Source organism: Homo sapiens, chromosome 2, assembly GCF_000001405.40.
Source record: "Homo sapiens chromosome 2, GRCh38.p14 Primary Assembly".
NCBI classification, from domain to species: Eukaryota; Metazoa; Chordata; class Mammalia; order Primates; family Hominidae; genus Homo; species Homo sapiens.
Window position 1 is genome coordinate 24,592,693 of NC_000002.12, and position 20,324 is coordinate 24,613,016.

The following is a 20,324-nucleotide window of genomic DNA, read 5'->3' on the forward strand; positions in this document are numbered from 1 at the left end:
GTGATCTAGATAAAAGCATAATAAAAAAGCTTACTGAGGTTTTTTTCCCCCCTGTTATAACAATTCTTTCATTAGGGAGCACTTTGCATAAAGTGAAATGTTCTCTGTTCCCACTGAAGTAGACATTTTAATTTAAATTAACAGTAACGTAGTACCTGGTTCCTTTTTAGAGTCTAGAAAAGGGAGGTAATACTACCATTCACCTGTCCTTCACCTGAACCTACCCTGTCTCTGTCCCCTTCTTTTTTTGTTTCTATTTTCTTACCATCTTTCTGGGCCAATGGTGAGTGATAGTAATACTGACATTTGGGGTTCAAGATGGATGAAGTCGTGAAGTTGTAGCTTTGAATTAATGAGGGAAAAAGGAGTTAAGTAGCAATAAAAACTTGATACAGTGGTACCAGGAGTTTATTTGTCAGGATCAAGAAGAGTCAAGGACTGGCTCTTGTCAGAGGGCCAGAGTAAGTAATTTGTTAGAAGTCAGCGTTGGCAGCAAGCACTGTCTTGACGGATGGCACTATTGAGAAGGGAAAGGAAACCTATATTTATTAAACTCTTTACAGAAAAGCTTGCCAACCCTCATTGAGATAGACTGGATCAGTCTACCCTGGACTGGATATGAGAATGGTTATATTGTGGGGAAAGCACACTCTTAGGTTATACTGCTTGTGGATATTAGTATAGCTGTGGCATAAAAGGAGCATGATGGGAATTTGGATGAGAGTAGTGGGTCTTCTGGGCCTTTCTTTATCGAAAGTCTAAACCCTGCCTGTGAAAGGAAACTCCAAATGTAAACATTGAATGTTTATTTTTTTTTACACATTTCTTTGTCCTTCCTACATGTATACCTATGTCCATACTCTCACATGGTTTTACTGTAATTCTGTTATTCGTATACTTACATAAATGTGGACTTACACAAGCATCTTAATTGGAAATGACCTTGGAGATCACGTTTCAACATCCTTATTTTACAGGTGGCAAAAACTAAGTCCCTTACAAGTTATATGCCTGGTGTCACAAAAGCAGGTTAGTGGCAAGTTTTGGGAGTAAAACCCTGGTTCTTTGAATTCCTGTTGTCATGCGTACAGGTATTCACATATGAAGTCTGCCCTATAAGGCCTCACCCAATATGTATCTTTAGCTTTAAGTAGCCTTTCTTAGAAAACTAAAACAGCTGAAGAGAAGAGAAGCATTAAATCTAGATTCTTCTAACTTAACTCTGCTACTGATTATCTTTGCAATTTTTAGGAAGTGTACCATTCTTTGATAAACAGAAATAAGGATCCAGAAGATAAATTGTAATTATAAAGATTACTGTGGACTAAGATCCTGATATTTGCCTCATTTCCTGATCCCTTTCACAGTGTAATTTATGTGAAGGAAATGTACAATTATTCAAGTAAACACGGTACTAGATTCACAGTTCCTAAGTATAATAATTTATAAGTGGAACATTGAAGAATCCAGAATTCATGTTGCTGTAAACATGTTACATAAGCTTATTTAAATGTTTTCCTTTTGTGAATTCAATAAATGGTAATTTGTAATTTATAATAAAACATACGATTATGATTTCGTAACTTACTGAAAAAAACTTTAAGAAAATTAGGTATCGTTCAACTGAAAAGACAAAAGGAATATACCAGAAATTATAGCCATTTTATTTTCATGTTCCTGATGGGGGTATTGCTGTCACAATTGGGGCAGAGTCATTATTTTTCTCAAATTCAGGATTAGAAAGGTCTTTGCCTTTATTGCATCAGAACATAATCACAGAATTTCTTCTTGCTGGTTCCCTGGGGACACTCTTTAGACAAGAGAAATCCTAGGAGAAATTTGCACAAAAGATGTACATCAGAAACTAAACTACAAGAGCAGATATTAGCATGCTTTTGGTTTGTTGTGCAGATGGTTTATAAAATCCTTAACATCGGTATTACTTGCCTACTTTTAATTAACCTCTAAAGAATTGTGTAATTGTTACTTCTTTCCTTCTCTATGATAAGTCAGCCCTCTCAGCTTTCTTTCCTGATACAGTTGAAAGCATTTTAAATTTTATCCTTAGAAATACAAATACTGAACAAATTAATGTTGTAGTTCAACATACTTAACCAATCTTAATTATAAATTAGGATGCGATGAGACTGTTTCACTTTTAAAATACATGATTGATGTTTAATCTTTCAGAAATTTAAGCTATTATAGTAATGCAATTGCTTATACTTAGTTTTGTGTTTTTATTAAAGTCTTATCTTTAAATGGATTGTCTCATTGAAGAAAATTAAATGGGCCAAATGTTTGTTTAACTTCGGAATTCTAAATAAATATTTTTCTTATAGTTTTATTAGAATTGGGATTGATATTTATGTAATAATAATGGTTTGATTGTCACTTATCTGGAACTCTGATTTACCAGCACAGTTCAATTATCTAAGTTAATATTTTTCAGTTCTTCAAAACCATGTTTCTATTTGATAGTTGTAAAATCACCTCTTCATCTTTGCTATTGTCTGAAATTTAAAATAAATATAACTTGTTTTTTAAAAATCAAAAGAATCAGGTAGAAAGTACTGCTTTGTTTTCAAACTTACTAGCACACCTCCAATGTATTGAATTCTATTTAAATTTACAAAACAGAAGTTTCTTACATGAGTTTCATGGACCACTTCAGAGGCTCATTAAATCTGATATTATATATAAAGTTTTATCCATGTGGGAATTCTTTTGAGATGAAATATCTGTAGCTTTATTGGAGTCTTGACGCTTTCCATCACCTAAACAAGGTTAAAAACTATTTTTATAGGACCTCTGAAGTATCATACTTTCCAAAAGAATATTTAAGGTAAAATTGCTTTGCTTTCTAGAATCACTTAATTATAGAATCTTGGTGTAGCCAGCCTCCATTTTTACAGATGCCACAAGTTGTGATTTACCCAATGATATTGTAGTTTAATCTTTGTCAAATTAGCAGGGGACACAATGAGGCGTCCTAATTGGTGTCCTAATTGTTTTTGGTGTCCTAATTGTTTTTTAGGGCCTTTTTAGCCTTGCAGCCTCTGCATAGAGGTTATGGAGCTCTCAACTAGGCAAGCAGGTATTAGTATTTGAATACAAAGCTTTTATGGGCACAATAGAGATCTCCGATAATTTGCCTCAATTATTTCATGAAGTGTTAATGTGATACTGTGTCATCTCTTTGCTGTATATGGTGTATGTTCTTACACTGTATATGGAAGCCCCTGTAGTTGCAGAGGAAAATCTGTCTTTGACAGCATCTGTGTTGAGGTAGACTTTCAGGAGTGAGATCATGAGATTTCAGACTATAAGAATCTCAGACCTGTGAGCATTTCATTTATTCATTTAACAAAGATTTATTGTGTGCCTGCTTATGGAGATGTAGGTTTTACTGGTTTTGGGATACCAAAAGAGCCCCATTGTGTCCCCTGCTAATTTGACAAGGATTAAACTACAGTATCATTGGGTAGATCACAACTTGTGGCATCTGTAAAAATGGAGGCTGGCTACACCAAGATTCTGTGATTAAGTGATTCTAGAAAGCAAAGCAAATTTATCTTATAGAATACTTGTGGAAAATTATAGTACTGTGTTCATTTAATAATATCGGTTTGGTTAATATTGGGAAATGTTTTTCTGATTACTTAACCTGAAGAATAAAATGCCATACAGTAATACTGACAGCAGTTCTTACAAAATAGTCCTTAGCGTAGTAGTCTCACAGAGTTATGAAATTCTCAGACTACTAGGAATTAAAGAAATCTCCTAATTTAAATATAGGACCAAAGCCCAAAAAAAATCTTTGTTTTATTTACCATTTTGTACTATTTGATAAAGATTTGACTGTCGGGCTTAAGTTAGTGATTTTTTAAATGTTTTAATTTAGAGGTTATGTTTCACATTGTAAACCTAGATCCTGAATTTTTATATTTAGTAATATAAGATGGCATACTTAACAAATGCAAAGGCTACAACAAATTAATTGAGAGTATTCTTAAATAAACTTAAATTTTAATCATTTTTGTGTATACTTAAGATGATTTCAAAATAAAGGTTTTATGATTTAATGTGCTATTACATTTCAAAGAGTTAAAGACTTACGCCATTCTACAATATTCATTTTAACTGGTATACTTGAGGTTTATGAACTGTGAGGTTTTGTGTGTCTTTCCAATCCCTGTTAATCCATTTGGCTTTTCAAACTGGAACAAGATTCTTCAATATTCTAAATCCTATTTTAAGATTCCTTAGCCAGTTCAGCTCATGTAAAGAAATCATCCAAAAGGAATATTAACAATGTAATATTTATATTGTGTTTGTTTTTACACACTGTGCTTTTGTGGTTTTACTTTATATGCTTAGGGTGTATAATTGGTTTCCAAGGGTCAATATGTGATCAACAGTGTTTTACCTATGGGAAGTGGGGTTCTATTGATATAGGAACCTCAATTATACATCCTTCCTCTTTGTTCCCATGAATAGTATCCTGAGCTCATAACCTATAACCTTATGATGTTTACATGTTATTTTAATTACCTCTTATCTCAACTAAATCTCCCTCAAATCCTTGAGAACAGAGACATCAGTTAAATCAACTTTGAATCCTCAGAATGTAGCACACAGCAGACATGCAAATATTTTTTAAATGAATGAATCAATTGTGAGACATGAGGGCTTATCTTGGATCCTCTATAGTCACTAAACAGGATTTTAAACTGGAGAATACTGTATTGGCCAATGGTTATCTGGAAAACCATAATCAATGGGAGTATTGTTTGTGTTTGTGGCAGGGGCTGGGGCTGGGGCTGGGGAAGATTTTCAGGAAATGGCTCAGTAATTGTAGGTGCTGGAGAGTCTGAAATCTGTAGAGTGGGCTGGCAGGCTGGAGACCCAGGGAAGAGTTGATGTTACAACTTGATTCTGAAGGCAGTCCTGAGGCAGAATTCCTTTTTCCTTGGGCAACCTCAGTCTTTTTCTCTTGAAAGCCTTCAGCTGATTAGATAAGGCCTACTCATATTATGAAAGATAATCTGCTTTACTCACAGTTTACTGATTTAAATGTGAATCTCTTTTTTTTTATTATTATACTTTAAGTTCTAGGGCACATGTGCACAACGTGCATGTTTGTTACATACGTATATATGTGCCATATTGGTGTGCTGCACCCATTAACTCGTCATTTACATTGGGTATATCTCCTAATGCTTTCCCTCCCATTTCCCCCCTCCCCACAACAGGCCCCGGTGTGTGATGTTCCCCTTCCTGTGTCCAAGTGTTCTCATTGTTCATTTCCCACCTATGAGTGAGAATATGCAGTGTTTAGTTTTTTGTTCTTGCGATAGTTTGCTGAGAATGATGGTTTCCAGCTTCATCCATGTCCCTACAAAGGACATGAACTCATCCGTTTTTATGTCTGCATAGTATTCCATGGTGAATCTCATCTAAAGAATACCTTCTCCCAGACAGCTAAGCTGGTGTTTGACCAGATATCTGGGTACAATGCCTTAGTTAAATTGACACATAAAATTAACCAATTAAGTGATTAATTTCAGTGGGAAGATTCAGCATTCTCGTAAATGAAATTAGCTATAAAAAATTGAAATTATTATAAGGAATAGTCACAAGTTATAAAAGAAACATTCATTGCTATGGCCAGGAATATATTGCTATATTGGAATCTTTAAGGGCAGAATGGAAAAAAAATGAAAGCATATGAACAATTATTACATAACATATAAATTAGGAAATTTTAAAGGAGAAATGATCAGAATTTAGGAAAGTATTCTTAAAGGATGTGAATTTTGATAAAAATTTGAAGAAAGTATGCATGCTGTGCATATATGGAGTTGGCAGAGAAGCCTGATAAGTAGAGTACCACAGGCCTTATGAGAGGCTTGGGGAAGGAAGGACAGGGAGAAACTGGCAAAGAGCGTTGCATATACATTTTAAATTTGTTTAGCTGGAGAATTAAAAAAACAAAAACAAAAAACTTCTAGGAGTTAATTAGGAAGGAAGAGATTAAATGAAAACATTTCTTTTACATTTTTCTTTTTTTTAATTTTAAGACATTATTTTAGATTCAAGGGGCACATGTGCAGTTTTGTTACATGGGTATATTGCATAACTCTGGGGTTTGGGCTTCTATTGAACTCATCGTTCAAATAATCAAGATACTACCCAACTGGTAGTTAAAAAAAAAATTTCTTAAAGATCTAGTTTTACATGTATGATGGACTAGAGTGGTTGCTAAGCCCAAGTACAGGAGATGAGGACCTGGACAAAGATTTATAAATAGAAACAAAATCCAAATAGAGAATTGAGACTTCTCAGAGACTGCTGAGAGAATTGACAGAACTTTGTGATTTAATGTTGGAGACAACACAAGAGAGGATATACTGATTTTGCCTAAATTGTCAATCTAGTATTGTAAGAATGATGTTGTTAATTTTGACAGTGATGTGGAAATTTACCAAGATGGGCAAGTGGAATATAAGGAATGATGTACACATGTGACTCAGATATTCTGTGGGGCGAAAGTGGTTTTATCATTGTATTCCAATATACTGGACATTCTGAGACACAAAATATGGTATCTTCCTATTAAGGGATGTTATTCTACTAGGGGAAACTGGCATACTTTTATTATAAACTTCATAGTATAACATATAATATTTGAAGATATCAGATATATCACATAAATGGTAAATCATCTCTCTCAGTATAGTCAGTGTCTACTGTGACAAAGCAACAAAAACTGTAGCAGTTTAAAGTGGGAAGGTATTTACATGTATTTTCTGCGAAGGATTTATGAGTGTCTCAGATTGAGGCCCTTATACGTAGGATTTTTAAAAACTTTATTTACACAGTGGGACAAATAGGGAAGCAGGAAGCCCCATAAGTTGGAGGCTTAGCTATGACTTAAATATACTACATGTTTTTTTCCCTAAACTATTAATTTGGAATATCTTGTAACTTATATACAGCCCTTCTACTATTTTATTATGTATGATTGATCTTTTTTTTTTTTTTTTTTTGAGACCGAGTCTCACTCTTTTGCCCATGCTGGAGTGCAATGGCATACATGACCTTGGCTCACTGCAAACCTCTGCCTCCTGTTTTAAGCGATTCTCGTGCCTCAGCCTCCCGAGTAGCTGGGATTACAGGTGCCCGCCACCACGTCCGGCAAATTTTTGTATTTTTAGTAGAGATGGGGTTTCACCATGTTGGCCAGGTTGGTCTCGAACTCCTGACCTCAGGTGATCCACCCGCCTCCGCCTCCCAAACTGCTGGGATTGCAGGCGTGAGCCCAGCCGATTAATCATTTTTATATGCCTAAGCCTTAGTCCTATTATATAAATCAGAGCCCTGTAGCTTCACTTTTATAAAATCCTTTTATTGCATATTCCCCATTCCCTTCTTTAGTCTATCAGTCTCAGAAGTTCGTCAAAGTATTGGGCATTTCTTGGGAGCAGCATTGCGATTATGTTTTTTTGTTGTTGTTGTTGTTTTTGAGGCAGGGTCTGGCTCTGTCGCCCAGGCTGGAGTGCAGTGGTGGTGCAATGTTGGCTCACTGCAACCTCTGCCTCCCTGGCCCAAGCCATCCTACTGCCTCAGTCTCTTGAGTAGCTGAGACTACAGGCATGTGCCACCACGCCCTGCTAATTTTTTGTATTTTTTGTAGAGATGGGGTCTTGCCATGTTGTCCAGGCTGGTCTCAAACTCCTGAGCTCAAGTGATCCGCACGCCTTGGCCTCCCAAAGTGCTGGGATTACAGGCTTGAGCCACCACACCTGTCTGCATTGAAATTATTATGTTTTTTATTTCCCATTCGTTGTTATTTTGTTGTTACTTATACTGTGTATGCCTTTGCTTTCATTATTTGCACATAGTCCTGACAATGGCATTAATTGGGATATTCCTTGGGCCAGAGATACATATTCTTACTATTGTCACTGTGCTTGAGCCTACATCCTCTTGCTTTCTTTCCAGATAGGAATTTCTTTCGGTGATAGTATTTATTCCTGTGCTTGTTTCTCAAGCCCTATTCTAATTTCCATCCTCCAAACCTTATTGCCTCTTACTATTATTACTCTCATAGTAAATATCTTCTTTGGATTGCATTCATAGCAATTTATATGATACGCATAGAATGTGAATTACTGAAATAAAACTATTCTGTTCACCTCAATATTCTGTACCTCAGTTTTCGTTAAGTCAAACTGATTTTCTCTGCAAGTAGTTTGTGTTTTCAGTGTTTCAGTACATGTTATTATCTTACAGTATGGAAATATTATCTAGTAGTGTAAAGATTTGTCACATAAAATTACTAGAAAAATAGAATGTTTAAAATATGCATGCAATTTACATGGGAAGCTTTACACAGTTCTATAGTTTTAGTGTTTTTTTTTTAAATGCTGTTCATTTATAAGAGTTAATGAGTCAGTGAAACTACATTTTTAATAATACCAGGAGGAAAGGATTTAATAGATCTTTAACATCTTCTGTTTTTTTTGTTTGTTTTTGATAGAACCTCACTCTGTCACCCAGGCTAGAGTACAGTGGTACAATCAGAGCTCACTTTAACTTCCAACTCCTGGGCTCAAGCGATCTTCCCACTTCAGCTTTCCAAATAGCTGGCACTACAAATATGTACCACCATTCCCAGCTAAGTTTTTAAAAAAATTTTTAGAGATGGCATCTCACTATGTTGACCAAGCTGGTCTCGAACTCCTGGCTGCAAGCTGTCCTTTCACCTCTGCCTCCCAAAGTGCTGGGATTACAGCCATGAGCCACTGCATCTGGTCAGATCCATAACACCTTAATGCCACATCTTTTTCTGACAGTTTTATTGATTGGGATTACTCTAGAGATCATTCTTTGGAAAACAGCTCCTCCTTCCTCCTTTTTTTTTTTTTTGTTTTCTTTCTTTCTTCTTTTTTTGAGATGGAGTCTCGCTCTGTCGCCCAGGCTAGAGTACAGTGGCGTGATCTCAGCTCACTGTAACCTCCGCCTCCTGGGTTCAAGCAATTCTCCTGCCTCAGCCTTCTGAGTGGCTGGGATTACAGGCACACACCACCACACCCGGCTAATTTGTTTTTGTATTTTAGTAGAGACAGGGTTTCACCGTGTTGCCCAGGCTGGTCGTAAACTCCTGAGCTCAGGCAGTCCACCTCCCTTGGCCTCCCAAAGTGCTGGGATAACAGGCGTGAACCACTGCGCCCAGCCACTTCGTCCTTTCTTTACCGGAAGTCAGAATACAAGAATTCCTTCCTTATCAGGTAGTTTAATCTTTGTTAGAATTATTATGCCTTCACCGTTTAATTTTTTCTTGTTACTTCTTCTGTCGTTTCAAAAAATACTCATTATAATTAAAATTTAGGAAGAACCCTGGAACTTAATGTAGCTGTCAGAGAGATTAACTACAATTTGCTGACAAGTCATGTGATTGGGGAAGAATAGCAACAAGTAATTGGATTGTTAAGTAGTAAAGTTTAGCAAGTTTAAAGTAAAGGCAGGGTCTCAGTTTGTCTCCCAGGCTGGAATGCAGTGGCGTAATCTCAGGTCACTGCAGCCTCGACCTCCCAGGCCCAAGCAGTTCTCCCACCTCAGCCTCCCCAGTAGCTGGGACTACAGGGGTGCACCACCACACCGGGCTAATATTTTAATTTTTTGTAGATATGGGGTCTCACCATGTTGCCCAGGCTGGTCTCAAACTCCTAAGCTCAAGCAATCTGCCTACCTCAGCCTGCCTAAGTGCTGGGATTACGGGCATGTGCCACTGCGCCTGGCAACAGTAAGGTTTTAAAAAATACACTCTAAGTTATTTTCCAAATTTACGTAGTAACTAGCACTTTCTTGAATATTTCTTTAGGTAATCAAGACAATAAATATATTTTGGCTAATAAATAAGTAAGGTTAAATTAAAAATTTAAGTTATTTTTAAATAAAATAAATATTATTTAAATAAAACGTTTTAAATAAAATATTCTCCAATTTCTTTAATCATTTTATAAAAATTTGTTATCCTCCATATAAAAGTAGATATAAAAACATTGTTTAGTATGTTAATGTGAACTAAGCAGTGTCATGTACATCAGCCTCAGAAATGGAATTTTACCAATACTGTGGAAACTCCCTGTGTAAGCCTGTCTCAACTTATTCCTCTTCCTGCACTGTTCCCCAGTGTGTGAACACTATGCTGAATTTTGACTGTTATGCTCTTGATTTTTAAAAAGGTTTTACTGCGTATGTATCTATTCCTAAATTATCTATTGATCCACTTATTTTATCAAACTTTTTAAAAAAGATAAGACGTACCTACAAGATATTGTGGGTTCAGTTCCAGACTACCACAATAAAGCAAATATTGCTATAAAGTGAATCACACAAATTTTTTGCTTCCCCAGTGCTTATAAAAGTTACGTTTATGCTATACCGTAGTCTATCAAGTGTGCAATAGCATTGTGTCTAAAAAAATATATATACCTTAATTAAAACATACTTTATTGCTGAAAATTGCTAACGATTATGTGAACTTTCAGTGAGTCATAATCTTTTTGCTGGTAGAGGGTCTTACCTCAATGTTGATGGTTGCTGACTAATCAGGATGGTGGTTGCTGAAGATTGGAATGCTTGTGGCAATTTCTTCAAATAAGACAGTGAAGTTTGCTGCATTGATTGACTCTTCCTTTCACAAAAGATTTCTCTGTAACGTGATGCTATTTGATAACATTTTTTACCCACAGTATATCTTCTTTCAAAATTGGAGTTAATCTCAAACTCAGCCACTGCTTTACCAAGTTTATGTAATATTCTAAATCCTTTGTTGTCATTTCACCAATGTTCACACAGTATCTTCACCAGAAGTAGGTAACATCTTTAAAAACCACTTTCTTTGCTTATTCATAAGAAGCATCTCCTTATCCATTAATGTTTTATCATGAGATTGCAGCAATTTAGTCACTTTTCAGGCTCCATTTCGAATTCTGGTTCTCTTGCTGTTTTTACCATATCTGCGGTTACTTCTACTGGTCTTGAACTCATAAAAGTCATCCATGATGGTTGGAACCAATCTATTCCAGGCTCCTGTTAATGTTGATATTTGATCTCCCATGAATCACGAATGTTCTTAATGGCATCCAGTATGATGAAGCCTTTCTAGAAGGTTTTTAGTTACTTTGCCCAGATCCATCAGAGGAATTACTATTTATGGCAGTTATAGCCTTATATAATATATTTCTTAAATAATAAGATTTGATAGTTAAAATTACTCATTGATCCATGGGCTGCAGAGTGGATGTTATGCTAGCAGGCAGGAAAACACATTAATCTCCTTGTACATCTCCATCAGAGTTCTTGGGTGGCCAGGTGCATTGTGAATGAGCAGTAATATTTTGAAAGGAATCTTTTTTTCTGAGCAGTAGGTCTTAACATTGGGCTTAAAATATTCATTAAACTATGCTGTAAACAGATGTGCTGTCATCTAGGATTTGTTGTTATAGCACACAGGCCAGGTAAATTAAACGTAATTCTTATTGGCCATAGGATTTTTGGAATAGTCACTGTGCACTGTCTTTACCTTCAAGTCACCAGCTGCATTAGCCCCTAATAAGAGTTGAGTTAGCCTGTCCTCTGAAGCTTTGAAGCTGGGTGTTGGTGTCTCCTCTCTAACTATGAAAGTCCTGAATGGCATCTTCTTCCAATAGAAGGCTGTTTCATCTACATTGAAATCTGCTGTTTAGTGTGGCCACTTTCATCATAGTTAGATCTTCTGGATAACTTGCTGCAGTATGTCCATCAGCACTTGCTGCTTCACCTTGCACTTTTATGTTATGGAGACAGCTTCTTTAACCATCATGAACCAATCTCTGTTAGCTTCAAACTTCTGCAGCTTCTTCATCTCGCTGTCTTCATAGAATTGAAGATAGTTGGGGGTCTTGTTCTGGATTAGTTTTTGGCATAAGGAAATGCTGTAGCTGGTTTGATCTATCCAGACCACTCAAACTTTACCCATATGAGCAACAAGGAGGCTGTTTTGCTATCTTATCATTTGTGTGTTCGCTGGAGTAGCACTTTAAATTTCCTTCAAGAACTTTTCTTTTGCACTCACAACTTGGCTGACTGGTGTAAGAGGCCTAGTTCCAGCCGGTCTTGGCTTTTGACATGCCTTTTTCTCTAAGCTTAATCATTTCTAGCTTTTGATTTAAAGTGAGAGACATGTGACTCTTTCACTTGAACAGTTAAAGGCTATTGTAGGGTTATTAATTGACCTAATTTTAGTATTATCGTGTCTCAGGTAATAGGGAGATGGCTGGTTTGGTGGAACAGTTAGAACATACACATTTGTTGATTAAGTTCGCTGCCTTATGTGGGCTTACATGTTCATGGTGCCCCAAAACAATTACAGTAATAAAATCAAAGATCACTGATTACAGATCACCATAAGAGAGATAATAATAATGAAAAAGTTTGAGATATTGTGAGGTTTTCCAAAATGTGACACAGAGGCACAAAGTGAACACATGCTTTTGGAAAAATGGCACCGACAGACTTGCTTGGATCAGGGTTGCCACAAACCTTCAATTTGTAAAAAACACAATATCTGCAAAGCACAATAAGTCAAAGTGCAATAAAAGGAGGTATGCCTGTATATTGTATGTATTCTACTATCTACCTCTTAAGTTTTTAAAAATTTTTAAGATTTATTTATGTTGCTCTGTAGAACATTTATTTTCCTGGGTTTATACTATTCAGTTAAGGGTATGTGACAGTTTGTTCTATTGTTGATTGATACATTGTTTTTTTCTACTATGAACAATTGAGCTATGAGTATTCTTATTTTGTGGTATGCATGTGCAAAAGTATCCCTTCCTAGAAGTAGAATTGCTGAGTTATGGGGTTTGTGCATATTCAATTTCAGATAATGCCAAATTATTTTCCATTTTGGTTTGTGGCAGAGGGTGGCTAGATATACACTGAAAATTTCCTCTTCTTCCTGGGCACAGAGTTAGGTTGAATTTTCCACCTCTGTTGCATCAGGAATGGCCATGTAAATGAATTCTAGTCAGTAGAATGTGAGTAGAAGTAATCTATGCCACTTTTAGGCCTGGCCCACAAAAATCTGCCATGCATCATCATTCAGTTTCTCTTCTCCCATCTTTTGGCCAAGTTTTGTTTCTTTCATACCAATTCCTGTACCTTTTCCTACCTGTTACTGTGCTGGCTAGACTTGTACAGCGTTGTATAGAAGTGGGGATTAATGAGTGTTATTTCTAATTTTAAAGAGCGTGCTTCTTATATTTCACAGATATCTACAGTACATTCTGTGTTCTCTAGATTACCTTTATGAAGCAAGGAGGTTCTCTTTAAGATTTTTTTTAAAAAAATTTATCGGGAATGCTGAATTTAATCTGATGTTTTACCAGTAATGATTGAGATGAACATTTGGGATTTCTCTTTTGTTTCCTTAATCTTGTGAATGATATTTATACCTTCATAATTTTTATTTTTTTATTTTTATCATTATTGTTATTATTATTATTTTGGTGACAGAGTCTCACTCCGTTGCCAAGGCTGGAGTGCAGTGGTGCAATCTCAGCTCACTGCAACCTCCACCTCTTGGGTTTGAGAGATTCTCCTGTCTCAGCCTCCCAGGTAGCTGGGATTACAGGCGCCTGCCACCATGCCCAGCTAATTTTTGTATTTTTAGTAGGGACAGAGTTTCACCATGTTGGCCAGGCTGGTCTCGAACTCCTGACCTCAGGTCATCCACCCGCCTCAGCCTCCCAAAGTGTTGGGATTACAGGCATGAGTCACCATGCTTGGCCTTATACCTTCATAATGTTAAACTGCACTTATATTTCTAGCATAAACTCAGCTTGGTCATGAGATATATTAATCTTTTGTTCATCACTTTCTTCAGTTTGAAGTATTTTTTGCTGTCTCCATATTTTCAGTCTTAGTTTGGATAGTGAGAAATACCATGTTATATGAGTATTTCAGATACTCCCAAACTTTCCAGTTCATGGTGTCCTCAAGTCAAAGAAATACCTAACAGCTACGTTTATTTAGTTTCAAACAAGTTAGTATTTATGTCCTTATAACTTATTAGTTATTTGAAAAAATCATATGCATAAATTCGATATATTTTTATTTTAATTGTAAATAACCACAGTCCCTTGCTAATGGGATATGTGTGCACCTCAGAGCAATGCATAACTTCTCAAACCTTGGAATCAGATAAGGCATTGCCATTGCCACCCTCACTTCTTGTTCCATGTTGATTTTCACTTGGGGATGCTCTTTTTCACAGCAACTACCATAAACTCAGATTTATAAGGATAACACATCATTGAAAGGAAAGTGGTACTATTTAATTTTGAAATTATTTGGTGTCAGACAGATGTTGTATAGCATAATTTGGGAAACCCTGAATTTTGGAGAGTGAATAGTTAGAATGTGAACAGTGAGGGGTACTGTGTTTTTTTTTTTTTTGAGTCTATTTGATATTTATATTTTATTAAGATAAGTTGGAATAACAGGATATCAGCTATATCTTTAATAAAATTTGCTATAGTCATTTTCTGTGTTGAGTTTTTAATTATGAGGGATACTTGTGTTTTATGTACTGTTTTGCATCTATGATCAAGAGTGAGATTGGCTGGGCGGTTTTGCATCTATGATCAAGAGTGAGATTGGCTGGGCGCACGGTGGCTCACACCTGTCATCCCAGCACTTTGGGAGGCCAAGGCGGGCGGATCATGAGGTCAGGAGATCAAGACCATCCTGGCTAACACGGGGAAACCCCATCTCTACTAAAAATACAAAAAATTTAGCCGGGTGTAGTGGCGGGTGCCTGTAGTCCCAGCTACTCCGGAGGCTGAGACAGGAGAATGGCGTGAACCCAGGGGGTGGAGATTGCAGTGAGCCAAAATAGTGCTACTGCACTCCAGCCTGGATGACAGAGCGAGACTCTTGTCTAAAAAAAAAAAAAGTGAGATTCACCTACTTTAGTTTCTTACACTATTTGGTTTTGGTATTAAGGTTATACTGGCTTCATAAAACGAGTTGGGGAATGAATATTTTCTCTTTCTTGAAGAGTTTACATAAGACTGAAATTGTTCTTTGAGTTTGGTAAAACTCAACTTTCTTTGTGAGATTTTAAAAAATTATTATGGTTGAATTCGTTTTTCTTTTTGCCTACCTGTATTTTCTTATTTACTGTAATACCATACAATACACTTTTAAGGCTGGACAATCTTATACCAAGAACACAAAACAAAGCCTGTTTGGAGTTGATTCTAAGTAGGTTTATCGCTTAGTCACCAAATCTTGTACTTTTAAGCAAAACTAACTCATAGTTTTAGAGAAGATTTTAAACTGTTGATTTAGTTTCCTTCATGACTATAGGATTATTTAGTCTTTTCATGTCTTTTTGTGTCATCTTTCAAAAAACTTTTTTAGCAATAATTTTAGATTTACAGAAGAGTTGTAAGAATAGTATATTGAATTCCCATATACTCCTCACCCAGTTCCCCTATTATTATTATTATTATTATTATTATTATTATTATTATTATTATTATTATTTTGAGACAGTCTTGCTCTGTCTCCCAGGCTGGAGTGCAGTGGTGCGATCTCTGCTCACTGCAATCTCCGCCTCCTGGGTTCAAGCAATTCTCCTGCCTCAGCCTCCTAAGTAGCTGGGACTACAAGCACGTGCTAATTTTTTGTATTTTTAGTAGAGATGGGGTTTCACCCTGTTAGCCAGCATGGCCTCTATCTCTTGACCTTGTGATCTGTCCACCTCGTCCTCCCAAAGTACTGGGATTATAGGCATGAGCCACCATGCCTGGCCAGTTCTCCCATTATTAACATTTGCATTACCATGGTACATTTGTCAAAACTAAGAGACTGACACTGGCTCACTGAACTTGACACCTTATTTAGATTTCAACAGGTTTTTTTGTTTTGTTTTTTTCTTGTTGTTGTTGTGTTTTTTTTTTTTTTTTTTCATTTATATCCTATATCCTCTTTCTGTCCAGGGTTCCCACAGTATCACATTGTATTTAATTGTCATGTCTTCCCAGTCTCCTCTGGTCTATGACACTTTCTGGTTTTCCTTATTTTTGTGACCTTGACAGTCTTGAGGAGTACTGGCCAGATATTCTCTCTGTTGGGGTTTGTCTGATGTTTTTCTTGTGAGGTTGTGGGAAGACTACCATAGAGAGGAAAGGCCCTTCTCATCACATCATTTTAGGGGGCACATAATATCCATGACATCACTGATGGTGTTAAATTAACCTCCATCACTTGGTAAAATAGTGATTGCCATGTTACTCACTGTAAAGTCATTATTTTTTCTTTTCCTTACTTAATTGTTGTTTGAAAGCAAGTTACTAAATCACCTTCAAGGGGTGAGGACATGGGAATTAAGTTTCACCTCCCAGAGGGAGGAGTAGCTACATAAATTATTTGGAATTCTTCTGTAAGAAAGATTTGTTTCTTGTTCTCCATTTAAAATATTTATTTAACCATATGTTTATATCACTGTGTCCTAGGTTAGTTTTAGTGGGTTATGTATCTTTTTAATTGAATTTACTGGTTACATTTGTTTTCAAATCTATTACTTAAATGTTTTCAACAAAAACATTGATCTTTGCTTTGTCAGTTGTTAAGTTCTCCCTTTCATTTATAATTACCTTGTATTATTTTCTTTCTTGATCTCATTGGCAGGATTTTTAAAAGTCATTTCAAAGAACCAGGCTGGGTGTGGTGGAGCAGGGCCATCCCAGCAACTCTGGAGGCTGAGACTAGGAGGATTGTTGGAGCCCAGGAGTTAAAAGGCTGCAGTGTGCTATGATCATGCTTGTGAATAGCCACTGCACCTCCAGCCTGGGTAACATAGCGAGACCTCATCTCTTAAAAAATAAAAAAGGACCAACTTTTGGTTTAATTATTCTCTTTATTGTGCATTTGATTTCTGTTTCATCAATTTGTGCTTTTATATTTGTGCCTTTTTTTTTTCTTGGTGAGGAAATTCTTTCTGGTAACTTCTTAGACATTTAGCTCAGTTTTCAGTCATTCTTTTCTAATGAAAGCATTGATGGGAATACATTCTCTGAGTATTGCTTTTACTACATTTTATGATTTTGAAATGTAGCGTTTTCATTATTTTTTCATTCTTGGGTTTAAAAATATTTATAATTTTTTCCTTGAGTCATATGTTATTTAGTGATACGGTTTTAAGTTTTGAAATGTATGACAATTTTATGTCTTTTTCTTATTGGCTTTGATTTCATTGCATTGTGATCAGGGAATGTAGTCTTTCTGGTAGTAATTGTTCCATTTTCTCTACCATGTCTTTTAACCTTTCTTTCATATTTTGCATTTCTTTGTGACTATAGGCTGCATTCTTTTTTTTTTTTTTTTTTTTTTGAGACAGAGTCTCTGTCGCTCAGGCTGGAGTGCAGTGGCGTGATCTCTGCTCACTGCAACCTCCATCTTCCGGTTCAAGCGATTCTCCTGCCTCAGCCTCCCGAATAGCTAGGACTACAGGCACTTGCCACCACGCCCAGCTAATTTTTTGTATTTTTTCTTTTTTTCTTTTTTTTAGTAGAGACAGGGTTTTACCGTGTTAGCCAGGATGGTCTTGATCTTCTGACCTCGTAATCTGCCCACCTTGGCCTCCCAAAGTGCTGGGATTATAGGTGTGAGCCACAGCGCCCAGCCTTTACGCTGCATTCTGAATTGTTTTGTCATTTCTGTGTAACAGTTCACTGACTCTGTTTATTTACTTCTTCCATTATGATTTTACTTGTGATGTTTTTCAATTCTAGTAGTTCTGTTTGGTTATTTTTCAGATTTGCCCATTCATTTTTTATATTCTCTCGAGCTTTACTAGTATTTTTATTTGTTCCATCTTTTTCTCTTAATATATTAAACATATTTAATATTCTATATTTGATAATTCTAATATCTGAAATTTTACAACAAATTTTGTTGTTTGTTTTCTCTGGCTCTTTCTAATAGTGCCTTATTTACTTGTATTTATTGTGGTTTTTTTTTTTTGAATCATGAACTTCTTTTTTTTAACTGGAACCCTGTGTAACTGTGGAACTCTTTAGACTTGAGTTCACAGTGCATTCCTCCAGGGAAGATTTTTTATTTCCTTCTACTATGTGCTTGGAGTTAGGGGTCTATGAACATAGGTTTTAACTTGAAATTCTCCCCTTTTAAAAAATTTTTTAACTTTTATTTTAGATTCAGGGAGTACATGTACAGGTTTGTTACATGGGTATATTGTGTGATGCTGAGGTTTGGGGTGTGAATGACCCTGTCACCCAGGTAGTGAGCATAGTACCCAACAGTTAATTTTTTAACCCTTGCTCCCATCTCTCCCTCCCTGCTCTGTTAGTCCCAGTGTCTATTGTTGCCATCTTTATGTCCATGAGTGCCCAGTGTTTAGTTCCCACTCATAAATGAGAACATGCAGTATTTGGTTTTCTGTTCCCTTGTTAATTTGCTTAGAATAATGGCCTACATCCACGTTGTCGCAAGTGGCATGATTTTATTTTCTTTTACAGCTGCATAATATTTCGTGGTATACGTGTACCACATTTAATTTGTCTGATCTACTGTTGGGCATCTAGGTTGACTTCATGTTTTTGCTATTGTAAAGAGTGCTGCAGTGAACGTAAGAGTACATGTGTCTTTTTGGCATAACAATTTATATTCTTTTGGATATGTACCTAGTATTGAGTTTGCTGGGCCAAATGGTAGTTCTGTTGTAAGTTATTTGAGAAACCTCCATACCGTTTCCCATAGTGGGTGAAGTAATTTACATTCCCACTAAAAATGTATAAGCATTCCCTTTTTTGTTTTATGAAGTTGGTGCTCCAGTGGGTTTATATTTAGGATAGTTAAGTCTTTTTGTTGAATTGAACCCTTTATTGTAATGTAATGTCCTTCTTTGTTCTTTTTTTACTGTTATTTTAAAGTCTGTTTTATATGATGTAAGACTTGCAACCCCTGCTCCTTTTTATTTTTCATTTACATGATAGATCTTTCTCCAACCCTTTACTTTGAGCCCGTGGGTATTGTTATGTGCGGGATGGGTCTCTTGAAGGCAACAGATAGATGAGTCTTTTTTTTTTAATCCAATTCATCTCTGTGCCTTTTAAGTGGGGCATTTAAACCGTTTACATTCACAGTTAATATTGATATGTGAGGTTTTGATCCTATTGTGAAGTTGTTAGCTAGTCACTGTAGTTTCTATTGTGTGGTTGCTTTATAGGGTCTGTGAGCTGTGTGCTTAATTGTGTTTTTGTGGTAGAAGGTTATTTTTCTTTCATTTCCACGTTTAGAATTCCCTTAAAGATCTCTTTTAAGGCTGGTCTAGTGGTAACGAATTCTCTAGCACTTGCTTGTCTGGAAAAGATTTTATTTCTTCTTTGCTTATGAAGCTTAGTTTGGCAGGATATTAAATTCTTGGTTGGAATTACTTTAAGAATGCTGAAAATAGGCCCCCAATCTTATACAGTTTCTGCTGAGAAGTCCACTGCTAGCCTGATGGGATTTCCTCTGACCTTTTTCTCTGACTACCTTTAAGACTTTTTCATTAGCTTTGACCTTGAATCGTTTTGTGATTATATTTCTTATTGATGTTTGTTTTGTGTAGTATCTCACAGGTGTTCTCTGAATTTCTTGTATCTGAATGTCTACCTCTCTTGCAAGATTCGGGAAATTTTCTTGAATTATTCCCTCAAATGTGTTTTCCAGGTTGTTTGCTTTTTCTCCATCTCAGGAATGCCAGCAATTAGTAAATTTGGTTGCTTTACATAATCCCATATTTCTTAAAGACTTTGTTCCTTTTTTTTGAATTCTTTTTTCTTTATTTTTGTCTGACTAGATCAGTTCAAAAGGGCAGTCTTCAAGCTCTGAAATTCTTTCTTCTGCTTGGTCCAGTCTATTGATAAAGCTTTCCCTAATATTTTGAAATTCCTTAAGTGAGTTTTCAATTCCAGAAGTTCTGATTGACTTCTTTTTAAAGTATTTACCGCTTCCTTCATTTCTTAGAATGATTTAGAAGTTTCTTTGTGTTGATTTTCAACCTTTTTTTGGATCCCAGTGAGCTTCCTTGTAATTCATGCTTTGAATTCTTTATCTGTCATATCTGAGTTTCCATTTTGGTTAGGGGCCATTGCTGGAGAGCTAGTGTGATTATTGAGTGGTGTCACTACGATCAGATTTTTCGTTTGGCCAGAATTCTTGCACTGGTTCCTTCTCATCTGGAGACACTGGCACTT

At 36.1% G+C, this 20,324-nt stretch overlaps 1 protein-coding gene across 15 annotated transcripts in view; it reads left to right on the top strand.

Moving 5' to 3' along the window:
• Positions 1–20,324, top strand: part of NCOA1 (nuclear receptor coactivator 1) — a 279,449-nt gene that overhangs the window by 101,439 nt on the left and 157,686 nt on the right. Inside the window, exon 3 of one of the 15 annotated variants that reach the window (XM_047446156.1) lies at positions 978–1,029. The exons of the other annotated variants lie outside the window; for them this stretch is intronic. The gene's annotated coding sequence lies outside the window, so the exon portion shown is untranslated. The remainder of the gene's footprint in view (positions 1–977; positions 1,030–20,324) is intronic. 15 annotated transcript variants of the gene reach the window in all.